The sequence below is a fragment of the Homo sapiens genome, chromosome 14 (assembly GCF_000001405.40).
Source record: "Homo sapiens chromosome 14, GRCh38.p14 Primary Assembly".
Taxonomy (NCBI): domain Eukaryota; kingdom Metazoa; phylum Chordata; class Mammalia; order Primates; family Hominidae; genus Homo; species Homo sapiens.
Window position 1 is genome coordinate 72436959 of NC_000014.9, and position 18704 is coordinate 72455662.

An 18704-nucleotide genomic window follows, 5' to 3' on the forward strand; every position below is an offset into this window, starting at 1 on the left:
GGAGAGACAGACCAAGAAATGCCTTTGTGGTTTCAAGAAGTGCCTTTGTTCTGTTTCATTTTTTTATTGTCAACAATCATGGCCAGGCATGGTGGCTCATGCCTGTAATCCCAGCACTTTGGGAGGCCAAGGTGGGGGGAATCACCTGAGGTCAGGAGTTCCAGACCAGCTTGGCCATCATGGTGAAACCCCGTCTTTACTAAAAATACAAAAAAAAAAAAAAAAAAAAAAAATTAGCCAGGCATGGTGGCGGGTGCCTGTAATCCCATCTACTCGGGAGGCTGAGACAGGAGAATCGCTTGAACCCAGGAGGCGGGGGTTGCAGTGAGCCGAGATCATGCCACTGCACTCCAGCCTGGACTACAGAGTGAGACTCCATCTCAAAAAAAAAAAAAAAAAAAAAAGGAAAAAAAAAATCACAACCTAGATTCTGTAAGCACCTACAGCAGCTATCCTTTGCTGGGGTTTCCTCATTCAGCTCTCTCCTCATTCATTATCTGGGTCCTATTGTATTCCCTTTATTAGTTTTAGCAATGTTTAAAATTATTTGCTGCTTGAAATCTAATCCATTTTGCAAGTAACCAGCACCTGGGGGCAGGGGTAGTGATGAGAAAACAGGGCTAAAAGGAATAAATTCACAATGAGTTTTATATTTACACCATCCTTTTCCCATTCACAGGGTTTTCCCATTTGGGAACATTCTTAGCGTGTTCTCTGAACAGAAGACCGTTTCTCTTGGTCTGAAGTTGATCAATGTGAGAGGAAGATGGCACATTAGAAAGATGCCTGGCTCTGATGACATTCCACCCCGCAGTCTTCCAGCACACTGGGATCTGGGGCTTGAAGTCACTTGTCTGGCTGTGTGACTGTATCCACTTGGAAGCAGCGTCCCCTGCTCCTAAGTTGCACAAGATACTTCAGGGAGTCTGCTGTGATTTAGTGATAGACAAGTCAGAAAACAAGTTTAAACTTGTTATTAATCAGAAGAGAACACAGACATTTTTAGCTGTCTATCTGACTTGGTCATAGGGCAGAGCCATCAGATGCCATCAGTGGTGGTCGGTGTAGATTTTTTTGTGAATCAAGACAGGAGCAGGAAAAAGGGGGGTGGAAATAACAGACAGGTTCCAGGAGGGCCTGGTGGAGGGTTCAGCTGTTGGAGCTCATTTTTCTTGCTTTTTCCCGAGAGAGGGGAATGGACTGCCATTGTCACAGGTTAAGTCACAGAAGAGTGAAGCTCAGGTGACAGGAGACATTCCAAATTGAGAACAGACATGCCAGGGGTCCCTGTTGCCACCTGCTCACAAGCCAAGGCCTTGGTTCCGAGCCCCTCTTCTCTCTCTGCATTTTCTCCTTGGGTGACCTCATCCAGCCTCGCTGCCTGAAGTGCATTCCTACACACCAGTGACTCTCAAATACTATCTCCAGCCAGCTCTCTCCCCACAAATCCAGATTCAACAGCCACTCCATGTCCCTACTCAGATGGCTCCTACAGACCTCAGGCGAAACATGGCTAGCACGCAAGCCCAGGTGTCCTCCCCATCCTGTTTTCTCATCTCAGTTGATGTAAGCTCCACCGTGCACCCAACTAGTTAAGCTAGAAACCTGGAGTCACTCGAGACTCCTCTTTTTCTCATGGGCAAGCCCCATCCATCAGAGAGGACCAGGAGCCTTGCCTCCAAACCCATTTGCTTCTCTTGATTTCACCATATCACCTGTGCCCAACCAGCCTTCCATTTCTCTAACCCAGTGGACACAGTTCCAAACTGGTCTCCTTGCTTCTACTCCTCTCCCTTTACAATCCATTCTGCACTCAGCAGCTAACATCTTTTAAAAACATAAACTGGACCCCTTACCACTTGAAGCCTTCCAGGACTTTCTATTTCTTTTAAAACCTGACACAGCCCCTGCCTTCCTGGTCTCCTCTCCACTGTGTTCTGTGTGGCCAACCTCCAGGCGTACGAGCCTGCCTCTTGCCCTCTGGACAGATCAAGCTTGCTTCCTGCCTTGGAGATCTGGCCTTGGCTGTTCCTCTGATGGGGAGGCTCTTCCTCCAAAGAGTCACACGACCATCTCCTTCTTGTTCCTGAGTTCTTTATTCTCAATGAATGAAGTTTATTGCACTCCCCTCCCCAATCTCAGTAGTCCCCAGTGATCCTCTCTCCCAACTCCCATTCTAGCTTCATTATTGCGCTGTTTTTCCTTGGTTTCATGCAGTTTCCTTGTTCATTGACTCCTCCATTACAGAGTAAGCTTAGAGAGGTCAGGGACCACATCTGTTTCTGTCTCATTCCCCACTTCAGCACAGAGAACGATATGGGGCACAGTAGGAGCTCGATAAATGCTTTAGTGAATGCATAAACAAAGTAAGAAACCATGAGGTGACCCAAACCTCGGTTTCTTCAGTTATAAAATGGGCACATGGGTGCAAAGGCTCAGGTGTATTGTAAGGGTGAAACGAGAGGTGATGCGTGTGAGGCCTTTGTGAGCTCTAGATCTCTTTGTAGATGCAAAGTATCAGTGTAGATTGCAGTAACCAGGACATCAGAAGAAAACCCTGCTCTTTGGAAGCAAAGTGTGCCAAATAACAAAGCTTAGCTCTACAAGGCTATCGCTAAGCCTATGCAATAAATACTTTCTCTCCTCCACATCTGAGCTGGACATTCTCCACTTGTCCCTCCAGAGCCACTCTCCACCCTTCTTACCTGCCTCTGTGCCTCACGGGCTGTCACTACAGCTGCCTCAGTAAGCTCCCTTGCCCTCTGGGTACAAGGCTTCAACTGATGGGTGACACCAACAGGAGATCAGAGGGGAGGAGAGGGAGACCAGGTAACTTATTCCCTGGCAGACCTTCATCAGAGAGTAGCTGTGTTCTGCTGAAGGCTGTGGCTTCTGTCTGTCCACCTTCTCCTAGAAAGACCACATCCTGTGGGTTCCTGTAACTGTTCCTCCTTGCTACCCCATTCGACCTGAGGTTGGAAACTTCCTCTAGTTGTTGCTCTAGCCGCAGGCTGCTCCACAATCCCTAACCCACCCAAACCTTTGTCTAAAGCACCTTCCTTACACCCTCCCCAGCTGTGGCATTTCGGGGCCCTGTTAGCATCCACGTGATGCTGCTTTCTACAAATGTGTCTATTTGTGGTGACAGCACTTGCGCTTTGCTTTCTTCCCTTTCTTATCCTACCTGATATCCCAGCCTTCTGCCCCTCAGCTACAAGACCACTCCATAACCATAGAGGACCAAAATCACCTAGGAGCTTGAGAGAGAAAATGTATTTGACATCTTGAAAATAATGCAGTTTGCTCAGGGGATTTATTTCTCCCTCCCCTGGGCTCTGCGCTCAGACCCTCTTTGCTTCTGTCCGACTACTGCAAGCAGGCAGTTAAGATTATTTCTAGCAAATGGACTTAGAGAAGCTGAGCATATGAGTGATGTTGAAATTTGACCTACACTTCTTTTTTTTTTTTTTTTTTGAGATGGAGTCTCGCTCTGTTGCCCAGGTTGGAGTGCAGTGGCATGATCTCGGCTCACTGCAGTCTGCCTCCCGGGTTCAAGCGATTCTCCTGCCTCAGCCTCCCATGTAGCTGGGATTACAGGTACATGCCACCATGCCCGGCTAATTTTTGTATTTTTAGTATAGACGGGGTTTCACCATGTTGGCCAGGCTGGTCTCAAACTCCTGACCTCAGGTGATCTGCCTGCCTCGGCCTCCCAAAGTGCTGGGATTATAAACGTGAACCACCGCGCCTGGTGAGCTATGCTTATTACTTAGATTTCTAGCAGATAACATATAGTTATTTCCTAAAACTCTGTTCTTAACCTGAGCTGTTTTTGTCATTTTTCAGGGTTTTAGGGGGTGGGAACATATTACAGGAGCTATTAGGTGCATGAGTGTGAGTTGCGGGCATATGTGAGGGTTGTGTGTCTTGTGTCTATGCACATGCGCAGGTGTGTAAGTGGGTGTGAATATGTGTGAGCGTTGCATGCATGCATGAGTTGTATGTGTGTTGCATCTGTGCGTGTGTGCAGGTGGGTATGAGTTAGTGTGAGTGTTGCCTGCATGCGAGTTGGGTGTCTGTTGCATCTATGCATGTGTGCAGGTATGTATGACTGTGTGAGTGTGTGCAGGTACAGCTTCTGTATTAATAAGAGACGGGCAATCACTGTGCACTGATATTGAGGGGTAGGGATTAGAGGGCACCTTGTCTATTTGGGAGGTGAAGGAGGGCTGGAATGAGAGGCTGAAGGGGTACAGAAGAGGAAGGCAGACCCCTGCAGGCCTCAGGGACCTAGCCTCCCTCCCTTCAGTGTCCCTTCCTCTCCCTGCAGGAACCAGAAAAAGTGTGGAGGTCTGAATTGCAGTCTCTAAAATCTCTCCTCAGTCTCACATGACTGGCTTCAGTTTTCTCACCAGTCCTGCAAAGCCAGGCCTTGACCCCTTATCTAAATATCCAAAGAAAAAAATGGAATTAGGGATCTTAGAAGGAAAGAGTGGGGCAGGAAATGCACCACCAGGGCAGTGCAGCTTGGTCACTGCCAGCTCCCCTCATGGGCAGAGGGCTGGCCTCTTGCAGCCGACCAGGCACTGAGCGCCATCCCAGGGCCCTCGCCAGCCCTCAGCAGGGCCAGGACACACAAGCCTTTGACTTCCTCCTGTCACTGCTGCTGCCATTCCTGTTTTGTGGTCATCACTCCTTCCCTGTCCTCAGACTGCCCAGCACTCAAGGATGTCCTGTGGTGGCATCAGACCAGAGGCCCCTGAAGAGGAGTGAGTTGGGTGTTTTTTGCCGCGCCCAAAGCAGCTGGCTGTCCCCTGAAAGATGGCAAGTGGGGAATGATGATGGTGCACCATCGTTCTGCACACCAAGCCCTTCTGGATAGGAGGCCCCCAGCAGTGGAGGGATGGGGGCTGCCAACTGGCATTGCCCAGAGGCCCAGCTCCTGGTCACATAGACTGACCTAGCAGTGCACCAGCTACCCGAGGCAGCCTGCAGGAAAGGTGCACTCATAGCGATGCTGGAATGCCATGAGGCCCAGCCATGGGGTTGAGAACTGGAATGGAGGGAAATGTTTGCATCCTGATGCTGGGAAACAGGAGATCAGTCCTCACCAACGCTGAGATGATTTCCCTCTGGTTCTTAAGCTCGGTTCTCTTTCTGCTTGATGCTTGAATCTCTGGTGTCTGGCAGAGAGTCTGGTGTCTGGCATAGTGCTTTGTATGTAGGTCATGCCAGAGCATGCTGGTGACTTTGCCCTTCTAGGACTCTTTTCCATTTCATAGGGACTTGCTGTGAAACCCCGTTTGACCTGGATATAAATGTTAGATGTCATGGAGTCCTGTTAGCATGGTGAGCTGCAGGCTGTTCTGCATGAGTCCTCCTTGAGCCTGCATCTAATACCCACTGCTCAATCAATCTCTTTTCACTGTTTCCCATTGATCCCAAGTGTGTCCTCTGTGAGCCTTTTCTTGACACTGGGTCACCCAGAATTACTCCCCTGTCTGTGTCCCCATAGCACCCCACAAATAGTTCAATCATAGCCCTTGTAACATTCTGGTGCACCAGTTTAAGGACAGAGCCCTGTCTTATTCATCATTGCTGGTGGATGAATAAAAATGTTCAAGTCGTAATAACGGCAATGACAACAATGATAAACTCACCACTTACTGACCATTGGCTGTGTGCCACAGGACATAGGACTGAACATCTTACAGGTGTTATCCTCATGTCCACTCTCTCAGACTGCACTTCTATCGTATTCTACAGAAACTGAAGGATGGAAGGTCACAGAGCTGGTGGGAGGGGAGCCTGGATTCATACCCAAGCCGTGTGCCTCCTGGCCACTCCTATGGGTGAAGGAAAGCAAAGGGCTTAGCTGTAGCTGGGATGGAGAAAGAGGAATCTCAGGCTTCTCGTCATATTTTGCCTCAAGAACTGGAAATTGATCTGGGAGTAGATCCCACACTGAGGGAGAAGGCCCCAGACCAAGAAAGGATGGGCTCATCTATTTGATTGAAAACAGAGAAGCTTGGAAGACCCAAGGTAGGGCAATTCCTGAACCGTCCAGGGCTGGAAAACCTGTAGCAAAGGCCTGGGGAGATGGGGCAGAAAGGCTAAATTATAACTTAGGAATCTCCACCAGGAGATCAGCTCCAAGACAGCTTCCAGTTTCGGCAGATGGAAGGGATACTTGATGGAAAAGGAGGGAGGGTAAGTGTCAGAGACTGCTAAATGTCTTTACCTACATTTCCTCATTTCAAACTCTCACAGAACAGAGTCTGAGGTAGACTCTAGGGCTGGCCCCATTTTGCAGATGGGTAAACTGAGGTTCAGAGCACTATACCCGTAAGATCTTTGCTCAAGAACTTGTATGTCCCAGACCATGCTTGAAACCTGGTTTACTCACACACCCTGCTGTGCAGACCTCCTCCGTTCCAAAGTGGTGGCAGACTTCAGTGTGCTTTGCAGACTTTCAATCTCAGCACATGCTGTGGAAGTGCTAGCAGTGTTGCTGTGCTAACCCTGTGGTTAGGCTGATCACAGTCCTGGTGAGTAACTATGGCCTGCAGCCCTGGCATCTGAAAGATGACCCCTTGCCTCTCCTGCTGTCCTCAAGAAAGCCTTAGCCCCCTAGATTATTTTCAATATAAAATGTTCATACACTACTTTTCAGATTCAAATTTGCACAAATGAAGTGACCGTTAGACACCACTGGAAGGTAATAAAACCCCCAAGCCTGCCAGCCATCAGGTCCCTCCCAGCCATCCCAGAAATATGCTCAGCTGCCCTCGAAACATCTGTCATGCTCTCTGGTGGGTGCTACTGGGCACCTGACATTAGATCACTTCTCTCCCAAAGCTGCAGCTCTGCTTATTCGATTCTTATTTCTGCCTTTGGATTGAGTGGAAGGCAGTCATCAGTGACAGCCACCCTCGGGGAACAGAAACGATGTCCACAGTGGCAACGATCCTCCATCTTCCTGCACTGAGGCCTAATCAATGTAGCCCATACCCAGCCTCCATTTAATAAGCTGATTGTTGAGCTAAATCCCGCACACTCTCCCCTTGCCCTGGACGCTTTTGATTGACAAAACTAATCTCTCCTCCACCCCCACGTCTGCTGCTGCCCACATCCTCTTGCAAATCATGTACTCGGCTGCTGACAATTAGATATAAGACTTGGGATTCGGATGTGGGAGGGTTATGAGGTTATGAATCAATTGTGGGGGCTCAGGTGAGATAACAAACCAGGGGAACCCATTTCAGACACCTCGCCACAGCCCTCAGAGCCTCCTGGTTGATTTATGAGTTGGTAATAACCTCGCTGGGTCTCCTGGCCCCTATTATTTTTCATAATGCACAGGAAAGCTTTAAATATCAGAGAATGGGGAAGTGCACAGTCTGAGTGGGAGGGAGGTGAGGGGGGATGGGGCTTGGGGGAGAACAGTGGCCAAGGGCTTCCCCGCAGCTGATTGTCTCTCCTGCCCCATCTCCCCAGGCCTTCGCTGCAGGTCTTCTAGTCCTGGACGTTTCAGGAATTGCTTTATCTTGGCTTTTTCAAGCTTCTCTGTTTCATTCAAATAGATGAGCCCATCCTTTCTCGGTCTGGGGTCTTCTCCCTCAGCGTGGGATCTACTCCCAGATCAGTTTCCAGTTCTTGAGGCAAAATATCAGGAGAAACCTGAGATTCCTCCTTCTCCATCCCAGCTACAGCTAAGTCCTTCGCTTTCCTTCTGTGGGTCACCACGGGGTGCCGTTGTCATATACCCATGGAGGCCAGCAAGCTGATCTGGCCAACCTGGGAGAAGACCCCAGGTTGATGACCCCTGGTTTAGGAGTGCATATGGCAGGATGCTTGAGGGATCACTGGGCCCAAAATCGTATTTGCTGTGTCTGGATGTAATGCCTCCCACCTGTTCAAGACCACGTCAGAATGACTCAGAGACCTGCCTGTTAAGAAGGGAAAATTATCCGCTGGACAAAAGCCAGTCAAAAAGCAGGCTCACCCTGCAGTCTGGAAGCCAGTTGAGCAGCGAGGACAGGCCAAAAAGGTGGGAGGGGGCCAGTGAGTGTCTCTCAGCCTGGAGGTAAAGAGCTGAAGACTTTACCTTTCCTTCTGCCTGCTGTCCTCTTCCCAGTGACAGCCAGTTTTTAATAAGGAAAAGGAGGAGGCTTTGAATTGCTACCTAATATTTGTTTAAGTAGTAATTTGTTGAGATTTCTCTGTTTTGTTTTGTTTTGTTTTGTTTTTTGAGACGGAGTCTCATGCTGTCGCCCAGGCTGGAGTGTAGTGGTGCAGTCGGCTTACTACAACCTCCGCCTCCCAGGTTCAAGCACTTCTCCTGCCTTAGTCATCCAAGTAGCTGGGACTACAGGCACCTGCCACCATGCCCAGCTAATTTTTGTATTTTTAGTAAAGACAGGGTTTCACCATGTTGGCCAGGCTGGTCTCGAACTCCTGACCTCAGGCAATCCACCTGCCTTGGCCTCCCAAAGTGCTGGGATTACAGGCAAAAAGATGTGATTTTTTTTTTTTTTTTAACAGTATCAGTGGGTGAAAGACCCTGAACCTTTCCTCTAAGGCAGTGTTTGTAAACTGCCTATATGATGTCTGGTACTAGATTGTGATGATGTTTTCAAGGGCCACAAAACAATTGAGGAAAAATTTAAAACATACTGAATATACATGTGTGGGTGTTTATGTATTATGATGTGTATTTGAATACAACTATCAACGAATAAGCATTCATTAGACCCCAACTCTGTACCAGATGTTTGTTTACTCCATGCCAGGGACAGAACTAACAGGGTCCCTGCTCTCTTGGAGCTACAGTTTAGTGGGCATTATGGGTTGAATTATGTTCTCTCAAAAATTCATATATTGAAGTTCTAAACACTAGAACTCCAAAATGTGACCTTATTTGGAAATAGAGTCATTGCAGATGTAATTAGTTAAGGTGAGATAATTAGGGTGGGCCCTAATCTGGTATGACTGGTAGTCTTATTAAAGGGAAATTTGGGCCAGTCATCGTGGTTCACACCTGTAATCCCAGCACTTTGGGAGGCCAAGGCAGGAGGATCACTTCAGCCCAGAAGTTAGAGACCAGCCTGAGTAACATAAGGAGACCCTGTCTCTACAAAAAATTTAAAAATTAGCCAGCATGGTGGTACATGCCTGTGGTCCCAGCCACTTGGGAAGATCGGGAGAGGCCTGGGACAGATTCTCCCTCACAGCCCTCAGGAAGAACCAACCCGTTCGACACCTGGATCTTAGCTGTCTGGCCTCCAGAACCATAGACAATAAATTGCTGTTGTCTAAGCCACCCAGTTTGTGATACCTTGTCATGGAAGTCATAGCAAACTAATATAGAAGAGGAAACAGACATCGATCAAATAATTACATTGTGGCTAATTCCAAACTGAGATAAATGCTTCAAGGAGAAAGAACCTTGTTCTCTTGACGTTGAAAGCCAAAGGACCTTGAGCCAGTCTGGAGGGCAATGAAGGCCTTCCCGAGGGAGTTAGGGCTGAAGGATGTGTCAGAGTCAGCTAGAGCTGTGTTCCCCAGCCTTTTTGGCACCAGGGACCAGTTTCATGGAAGACAGTTTTTCCACGGACCAGGGTTGTGGGGGATGGTTTCAGGATGATTCAAGTGCATTACATTTATTGTGTACTTTATTTCTATTATTACATTATAACATATAAGGAAATAATTATACAACTCACCACAATGTAGAATTAGTGGGAGCCCTGAGCTTGTTTTCCTGTAACTAGACAGTCGCACCTGGGGGGTGATGGGAGACAGGAACAGAACATCAGGCATTAGATTCTCATAAGGAGCGTGCAACCTACCTGGCATGCACAGTTCACAATAGGGTTCATGCTCCTGTGAGAATCTAATGCCACTGCTGATCTGACAGGAGGCAGAGCTCAGGCAGTAATGTGAGTGATGGGGAGGGGCTGTAAATACAGATGAAGCTTCACTTGCTCACCCGCCACTCACCTCCTGTTGTGAGGCCTGGTTCCTAACAGGCCAGGGACCATTACCTGTTGGGAGGCTGAGGACCCCTGAGCTAGAGGAAGAGGTGGGAGGAGGAAGGGAAGGCACGACAGGCCCAGGGAGTAGCAGATGCAAAGATCCTGTGGTGCAATGGAGACTGTTGCATTCTGGGAAGGGAAAGGCAGTCCCAAGGCAGGAGAGGTGGGGGAAGAAGAAGAGGGTGTTGGGATGGATGCAACCAGAGCACCCCAAACCAGAAAGATGTTTACTCCATTACCTTCAACTGAATTACAGTGGGGTGAGGGCACCTATTTTGCTTTCTGCCCTCACTTCCGGGAAATGCGCATCCTGGATCACAGAAAAGCTGCTGGGCAGAGGTCCCAGTCTCTCAGTGAGGCCTCACCAGACTAGTAGAGTTGTCCAGCCACAATGCCCTCCTCATTTCCCCTTCTGTCCAACAAGCTGTCTATCGGAAGATCCCAGTCTAAAAGCACCAGAAGACATTTTGAGTTTCTCTAAGGCCTAAAATTTAAAAGCTGATAAGTAACACAAGGATTCCAAGTTACTGCTGTCTCTCCCAGCCACGCAGATGACTGGGTTAGACACTTGGCTGGTATGAGGTCCCTGAAACATGGGCTCTGTGAGTAGCCAATGTGTATTAATATTAATGCTTATGATATGTCAGGCACTCTGCATGGGTTCATTACCCCTCACAGTCAAGATGATGGGTCCCATTATTACTGTCCTGTTTTCTTTATTTTTGAGACGGAGTTTCGCTCTTGTTTCCCAGGCTGCAGTGCAGTGGCACGATCTCGGCTCACTACAACCTCCACCTCGCGGGTTGAAGCAATTCTCCCTGCCTCAGCCTCCCAAGTAGCTGGGATTACAAGTGCCCGCCACCACACCAAGCTAATTTTTGTGTTTTTAGTAGAGTCAGGGTTTCACCATGTTGGCCAGGCTGGTCTCAAAATCATGACCTCAGGTGATCCACCCACCTCGGCCTCCCGCAGTGTACTGTTCTCTTTTCATATGAGGAAATAAACGCACAGGGCCAGCAGATGACTTGCTAACAACCAGATCATTTCAGCAAAACCATGAACCAGGCATTGTGAAGAGAGTTTTGTATACCTGGCCTTATTCTTAACTAGACAGCACTTCACCCTAGTTGACGTATGAAGAAATGGAGATCAGGGCAGGTGGTGGGTAAGGGACCTGCCCAGGTTCCCACCGTTTGTAAGTGATGTACCATGAGTTGCTCTCAAGTGTGTCTGACTTTATAAATGCTGCACCTTATCATTTCCTATGCTTGGTAAGCAAGTGAGTGTGAAATTTGCCACGCTTTTCCTTGGAAAAACTCAAGCCCATTGACCAAACAATACTACTTGAAAATGACACTGAACTTTTCATCACTGTGTTTCTCCACCTGTGTTCCCTTCTGTCTTACTGCCACCTACTCATTGTGCTCACCCTCCAAAGCCCAGTTTAACATTTCCTCTTAGTTAAGCTTTCTCTGCTAGCTGATCATTGCATTTTTTTTCAATTAAGGCATAAAAGAAAAAAAAAAGACGGTAAAGATTGTCCTACTTAGAATATCCTTCCATTCATTTGCAAAATGGAGATAATAATATGCTATTTACAACATAGGATTAGTATAGCAGGATTATTCCAGAGCCTGGAATATAGAAAGTACTCAGTAAATTATTAGTTCAACAGCTAATAATAGTACCAATTATTATTATCACTAAATTAATGCCTCTGTTTCAGGAAAAAAACTGAATACATACAGAATATCGGTTTTCTAATTGTTTTTTCTTTATACTACTTGGAAAGTTATACAGAGTTAAGAGACACAGAATAGTATAGTGGAAATAATATTTGGCATGAAATTGCCTGGATTCCATCAGTAGTAGCCTGTGGTCTTGAGCCTCTCTGGGCCTAATCTTTAAAATGGATATAATAATTATCATATTGGACACAATTATTGTCAAGATAACATGCGATAACAGGGTCAAGTGCCCAGCTCTGGCCTGGTACACCATGGGCACTCAGGAAATGTCACTCCGCCTTCATAAGCATTGGCCTGTGCATGACATCTATGTGATAAGGTGGCCTGAAGCTGTCCTCCCCACCCAGAGGTGCAGCAGAGGCCTGGCAGGAATGTGAAAATCCAATGGATCAAGTCATAACCTTGACTGAAGAGTATGGTGAGTTCACTCATGGCAGGAACCATCTGATCATTCATACGGCTCCAGAAACATTTTACTCAAAAGAAAGTGTCTTTCCCCAACAGTCAAGATTGATAATTAGTTTATGAATTGCTTCATTTATCAGTACTATGATGTACTGTATAATCCACCAGGTTTCAAGTTACTGGAATTTTGCAGGTGATGGGAACCAGTCTTTTTATCAACTTTGCATAATCTGATCTGGGCTCAGATTGATAGAATGCTTTGGGAAGAATCAGGGGAGTGTTTTATACTAGGATCTCCTGCGGTTCTGATGCGTTAATGGGAGGAAGCTATCCCTGTCAAATTCTACAATTTTGGAGGAGCTTAAAACACCTGAAGACAAAGCCCTGAATTTTATGAGTGTCTGCCTGAAACCAGAAACAGAAACCCCTTACAGCTTACTCAACAGCGTTAATTCAGCATGGAAAGGCACCAGGAAAAGATCACTGCGTCTTACTCCCACCAAGTAAACAAGCTAACAAACACAGAGGAGAGGTGCAGGTTGGCACCCTTAGGCCGGACTCTGGGTGGACAGCCCTGTCAGAGTCTATAAAGGGTCGCTCTGAGGCTCCAGGAGTGGCAGATGGCCAGAGAGTGGCCAACTGGAGGCACACTATTGAGCCTCGGGATTGAGCCTCCCACTGTTTACCCCTCAGGAAAAAGAGAGCTTTGAGTCTCCTGGCCCTTTCCCCAGAGAGCAGGAAATGGCCAGGGCTTGAGGATAGCCAGAGGCCGTCCAAAGTTACCCATACCATCTCCACTTTGGCCTCAGAGGCCAGCTCTTTCTTCTCTCTGTGCTTTTTAAAATAAAAACTTATTTTTCTAGTGTAAAAGTATTATATGAATGTTCTATGAACTTCAAATAATACAGAAATGTAAAGAATAGAAATTTCCCATTATTTGATGCCTCCCGCTCCCCAAAATAACCTAAAGTTAACAATTTAAATATATATCCAGAATTTTTCCTCTCCATATTTATATATATCTATACATATATAATTAATAGAACATAAATATTTTACAGTAACCCTGTTCTCAAGATGCTTTTCCACTGTAGATGTTTAATAAATATTTATTGCATGAATGAGCCATAATTTATTTATTCAGTCCTCTATTAGAGGCCTTTGGTTTGTTCCCAGTCATCTAATAAACATGATTTTAGATATAAAAGACATAATTGAAATACATATAACACATACAGAAACATAACCCATAACTGCATATCATAAATATATCCTTAAATATACTAATAAAACACGCATGCAATGGAGAGGTGTTTTGGGTGCCGTCTGGTGTATATCCTGGATATCCCTGGAATATATATTGATAAATCAGCCTCAAAAAGAATGCTTTCAGACAGTGTTTTAGGATCTGTGGGAACAAAGGGTGGCCATCCTGCATTTGTTATGTTGTTTCAACATAGCATTTGTTATGTTGTTTTATTAACTTTAAGTCCTTGGCAAAGCAGCTTGACTAAGATAAGATCCAGAAACCAGTCGTGGTAACAAGGCAACAATTAATCTTAGATAGAACAGAAAAGGAATCCGCTTCAAATTCTCTTTAGAACAGGAAGGAAAGGGTGATCGTGGGTTAGCAGGAAGGAAGGAAAGAGGCAAGAAAGGAAAGTGAAAAAAGAATGGAAATGCTTTCTCCTGCTGGTGATTTGGATGTTTGGACTACTCTTGTCAGATGCTACAGCGTAATCACTGTAAATGTTTTAAAGGACGCGATATTATGACAGATTTCCCTTTCTGACTTGTTCCTGGGGCTGCACACACAATGATTTACTCCCTGCCACGGGCTGGAGGCTTGGCCACTCCTGGGTTGGTCCAAGGAAGCCTGGAATACCCAATGCCTGTGAGAGTGAGCACGTCCCCCTGTCTCTAGGTGTTGTTGCTTGTGCTGAAATGGAGTCTACCAAGCATTGCCATGGCATGGAAGGGATGGTGGCGGAGTAGATGCCACTGCAGATTGAGTGCAGTGTCCCAGGCAGCCAGGGGCAGCCGCTCAGCCCTTGCCTGGACCTGAGGACTGTTGCATCAGTCTCCAGATGAGACAGCAGCTGTCATGGTGGCTGAACCAGGGAAAAGAAACTCCACTCTGTGGTCTCCATGGGGCTAGGGAAAAAAGGAAATGGGTTTTTGTGATTTTCCCTTCTTTAGAAACAAAAGTGCTTAAATGTGATTCTTTAGCTCTGTAAATGCAAACCACGGCCTGGTGGACTGGGGAGAACAATTAGGCCAAAGGCTGAGCACAGGAAGCCAAAAGCGGGTGGAAACCCAGACAACGGTGCTGAGCCGGGGGTTGGGGTGGTTGGGGGGAGCGGATATGATAGCAAGGAAGGAGTTTCAATGTGAATGAATACTAATTAGTGACATGGATATTAATGATGACAGTAATTAACAGGGGAAAGGAAGGGCTGTCATTGTCCCAGGGTGAGTAATCAATCTTGGCAGGTGATAAATAATGGTTCAGCAAGCTCAGCAGAAAGATAATCCGCAGGCCTGGGGGAGAACTCAGCTAATGCAGGAAACCTCACAGTTTCTAGGCAACCCACAGAAAAGAACTATTTTTTTTTTCTTTTTTGAGACAGCGTCTCACTCTGTGGCCAGGCTGGAGTGTAGTGGCGCGATCTCGGCTCACTGCAACCTCCACCTCCCGTGTTCAAGCAATTCCCCTGCCTGAGCCTCCCGAGTAGCTGGGACTCAGGCATGTGGCACCACGCCTGGCTAATGTTTTGTATTTTAATAGAGACGGGGTTTCACCATGTTGGCCAGGATGGTCTCAAACTCCTGACCTCGTGATCCACCCTCCTCGGTCTCCAAAAGTGTTGGGATTATAGGCATGAGCCACTGCGCCTGGCCAGAACTATTTTTCTTTTGAGGAAAAAACAGATTAGAGTATCTCTCCCACCCCCAGCTTGGGACTACAGTTCTTATTTGATTTCTGCTTTGTTCTTCATTTCCTGGGACAAATGTTGAACTTGTATAACTTGGAGGAAAGGGACACACAGGCACATGTACACACACACATATTCATTCTCTCTCTCTCTCTCTCTCTCTCTCTCTCCAAGAATACGAATGAATACGAGTGTTTTTGATCTAAAGTTTGACTCACAGATGCTGTCCAGGAGTAGCAAGAGTGAGGAGAAGCCTAGAAGTGCTGCCTTTGAGGTTGGCGCGGGGAAACTGCAAAATTGCAAGGCTGTGTCGGCAGAACTGGGGCACACAGGAGGATGAGGATGGCCCTGGGGGTCCCACTGTGCAGGGTTACTTCACCTGCCATGGACCCAGAGAGAAACAAAATGTCTAGGCTTTCTGTCCTGTACCAGTCCCACTTCTGGCCACCAGTCACATATCTAAGAAAACTGATTTCTGGGAAGAGGGCAATCCTCATGAAGCCCCTCTGCTGGATCCCCAGGCCTTCAGCCAGGAATCCAGCCCAGGAGAGTTCTTGGCACATCCCCTCCCTCTCACCAAAGCCTCAGACCCACGGTAGGACTCTGATATCTAAAATGTCTCCCCTTGCAGGCTGTGTTCCATCAAACAATTTAGAGGTGACAAAGCCACACCTTCAATGGTCTGCACTGGTTTAAAGTGAGATCTTTGGGTGGCAAAGGTAGATTGACCAGAAATTCAGAACCTTCCAGAAAACTGAACTCCTCTACTGCCATGTACACAGTGCTGCTCTCAGAACATTGTTTGCGGGTCACATTTTCAAAGAGAGGCAGACAGAAGGGAACTTATTCAGAGGATTGGGAACATATGGTGAGGAACTCCAGGCCACACCCTGCAAGGAAGCAGCTGAGGGACCCAGGCCTGTTGCACTTGGAGGGAGGACGTCGCTGGTATGCCGCAGGACTGTCTGAATAGCTGAAGGGCTGTCGCACAGAGTGGTTAGGTTGGGGTTTGTTTTTCTATCATCAAATGGCAAAACTGAGGCCAAAGGGAGGAAGTCAGAGAGGGGCAAGTTTCTGTTCAGATAAATCAAGGCTGATTTAACTGGGTCAGGCTGGGTAGGGGGGAGTTTGTGAGTTTCCAGGTACTAGGGATTCTAAACACAGGTTACAGCACCTCTTGTCCAGGGTGTTGTGAATGGGACATGTATTGGCTGGGGTTGGAGTAGACAAGCTTTAAAAGTTCCTTCAGGGCCGGGCGCGGTGGCTCATGCCTGTAATCCCAGCACTTTGGGAGGCCGAGGCGGGCGGATCACGAGGTCAGGAGATCGAGACCATCCCGGCTAAAACGGTGAAACCCCGTCTCTACTAAAAATACAAAAAAATTAGCCGGGCGTAGTGGCAGGCGCCTGTAGTCCCAGCTACTTGGGAGGCTGAGGCAGGAGAATGGCGTGAACCCGGGAGGCAGAGCTTGCAGTGAGCCGAGATCCCGCCACTGCACTCCAGCCTGGGCGACAGAGCGAGACTCCGTCTCAAAAAAAAAAAAAAAAAAAAAAAAAGTTCCTTCAGACTCTTAAGATTTATATTCGTTAAGGTAATACTAGATACCAAAACAGCTAAGTCCCAAATTTCAGGGGCTTAACACAACAAAGTTCAGTCCTTTCAGTCCTCAATCAAGTCAGAGCCCCACATGGGCGTAATGTCCATGGTTGGAACCGTGGCTCCCTGCCTATTGTGGCTCTGCATTCCCCCAGGTCTTTGGAGTCCCCCACATCCAGCCAGTAGATGGGATTGAAAGGGGCAGAGCTAAGGAGAGCCATGTAGGAGTTTTTATGGTCCAGGTCTGGAAGTGGCATATGCCATTTCTACCCATATTCTATTGGCAGAACTCAGTCCATATCTAAGTGCAGGGGAGGCTGGAAATGTAATCTAGCTATGGCACAGTGAGGAGAGGAAAGAGGTCTTGGTGAATACATAGACGTTTCTGCCACAAATGCAGGGACACATTCATTCAGGATAGGCCTGTGCCGGAAGAGATGAGAGTTTTGCAAGAACCTATGAGGTCACCTGTGTTGGTCAGCCCTTGTAATTGATGGTAGGGAGCTGATGAGGCCTCCTTCTTCAAGAAATGGTCTGGGGGCCAGGCATGATAAAGCTTCACCTAGCACGTCTCAGGGAAGTCCTCTATAGACACTTCCTAGAAACATGAATATAAGCTCATCCTGCATCATCAGAAGTGAGTGTTTTTTGGACAAGAATGGAATTGTAACTATGGAAGTGTACTGAAGAATGGAAAGGGTTGGTTAGGACAAAAAAAAGTGCCCATATTATCCTGCTCTACAGTGTGGACTGTTTGGAATTAGGATTCTCTTAGGTAAACATGTTTCTTCTGCCACAGTGTTAAACACCCAGGAGGTCTTCAGCTGAAATTGCTTTATCGTTGCAGGTACTGACATTGTGCAGTGGCTTATGAAGAACCTTTCCATTGAGGACCCAGGTACTTGACCTTTGACCCCACCCTTATCTCCCCTGGTATCAGTAAACATCCCATAACCAAGTTCCAAACTAGATTCCCCTGCCCTCCTGAGAACTGGTCTTGTAAATGTGAATTCCAAGACGTGGAATCACTCTATTTACAAATAAAATTAATTTATTTTCTCCACTGAATATTTGTCTTTAAATTTAAATCATGCTTTGAGGAAATGAGCAACTTTTTAGAATGCCAAAGAGCCCAATACAATAATGTGTGAAATGAGTTGAATTCTCATTAGCTGCAGCAATTAAAGATAAGTTGTAGCACTGTCACTGAACAGCCTTCTAGAGCCAGCTCTTAAAATTAGATTGCCTGATCCACAATTAAGATGTTTAATTATTTGCTAAGACTCCCTCTGTTTTCTGCTTCTGCAAGAAGTGAAGGAATGATTTTTTTTCAACTTTAATTGCGCATTTCAATTAGGAAGACCTTACCAGGAAAACAACAACAGAACCCTGGCCAATAAAACAATTTCCCAGTCTGTTCTCCCACCAGAAAATAGGCAGTAAAATTTATTTTCACAGTGTAATTAGGAAATGGGGGGGGTGTTCCAGAAAAATAAAAATTCAAGATAAGTAAAGCTTATTCCCATGTGCTGTCAGTTAATACTTTTCCGAATTTATTACATACTCCTTTGCCTTGATTAACTGAGTATTCTTGATGCCTGAAGGTCACATTTATAAAGATCCACTAATACACTCTGATGTTCTTAATGGACATTGGCGTGATTAGACTTACCTGCCCCAAATTAAATGGCCCTGAACCACAATGCTTTTTGAAGATTTTTTTGAAGTGCCCATTCTGCATCCGTGACCTTCAGCTGTGAGTCCCTGCTGGAATCGGTGTGTCAGCTTGGCACTCCTGTATTTTAACCCAACATTTCTAATCTGTTGACTGCAAAACAATACAGTTTCTATGCAGTTCAATTATATACAGTTGTTAGAACTCTGAGTGCCAGAAAAGCAGATCATTCATAGAAGTGGCCCGAGTCTTTTCACCCCCTTGATTAGTGGCTACTCTCACAACTAGTGAAAATTCTTAATTCTAG

The 18704-nt window shown here is 46.6% G+C and overlaps 1 protein-coding gene across 54 annotated transcripts in view, besides 1 other annotated feature; it reads left to right on the plus strand.

Annotated features, from left to right (window-relative positions):
- The window catches only part of RGS6 (regulator of G protein signaling 6), a 762695-nt gene that overhangs the window by 569624 nt on the left and 174367 nt on the right, over nt 1-18704 (plus strand). For all 54 annotated transcript variants that reach the window (NR_135235.2, XM_024449761.2, NM_001370270.1 and 51 more), the window contains one exon: nt 17570-17620. Coding sequence is in view for 52 of the 54 variants with exons in the window: in XM_024449761.2 (XP_024305529.1) it covers nt 17570-17620 (51 nt within the window). In the remaining 2 variants the exon portion in view is untranslated. Of the gene's footprint in view, nt 1-17569; nt 17621-18704 lie in introns of those variants that run through there.
- Nucleotides 13850-14627: an enhancer, noted in NCBI's record as "H3K27ac-H3K4me1 hESC enhancer chr14:72917516-72918293 (GRCh37/hg19 assembly coordinates)". NCBI's record gives its function as "activates a minimal SCP1, AML or CMV promoter by ChIP-STARR-seq in naive H9 embryonic stem cells {active_cell/tissue: H9 hESC(naive)}" and the evidence as "EXISTENCE:reporter gene assay evidence [ECO:0000049][PMID:30033119]".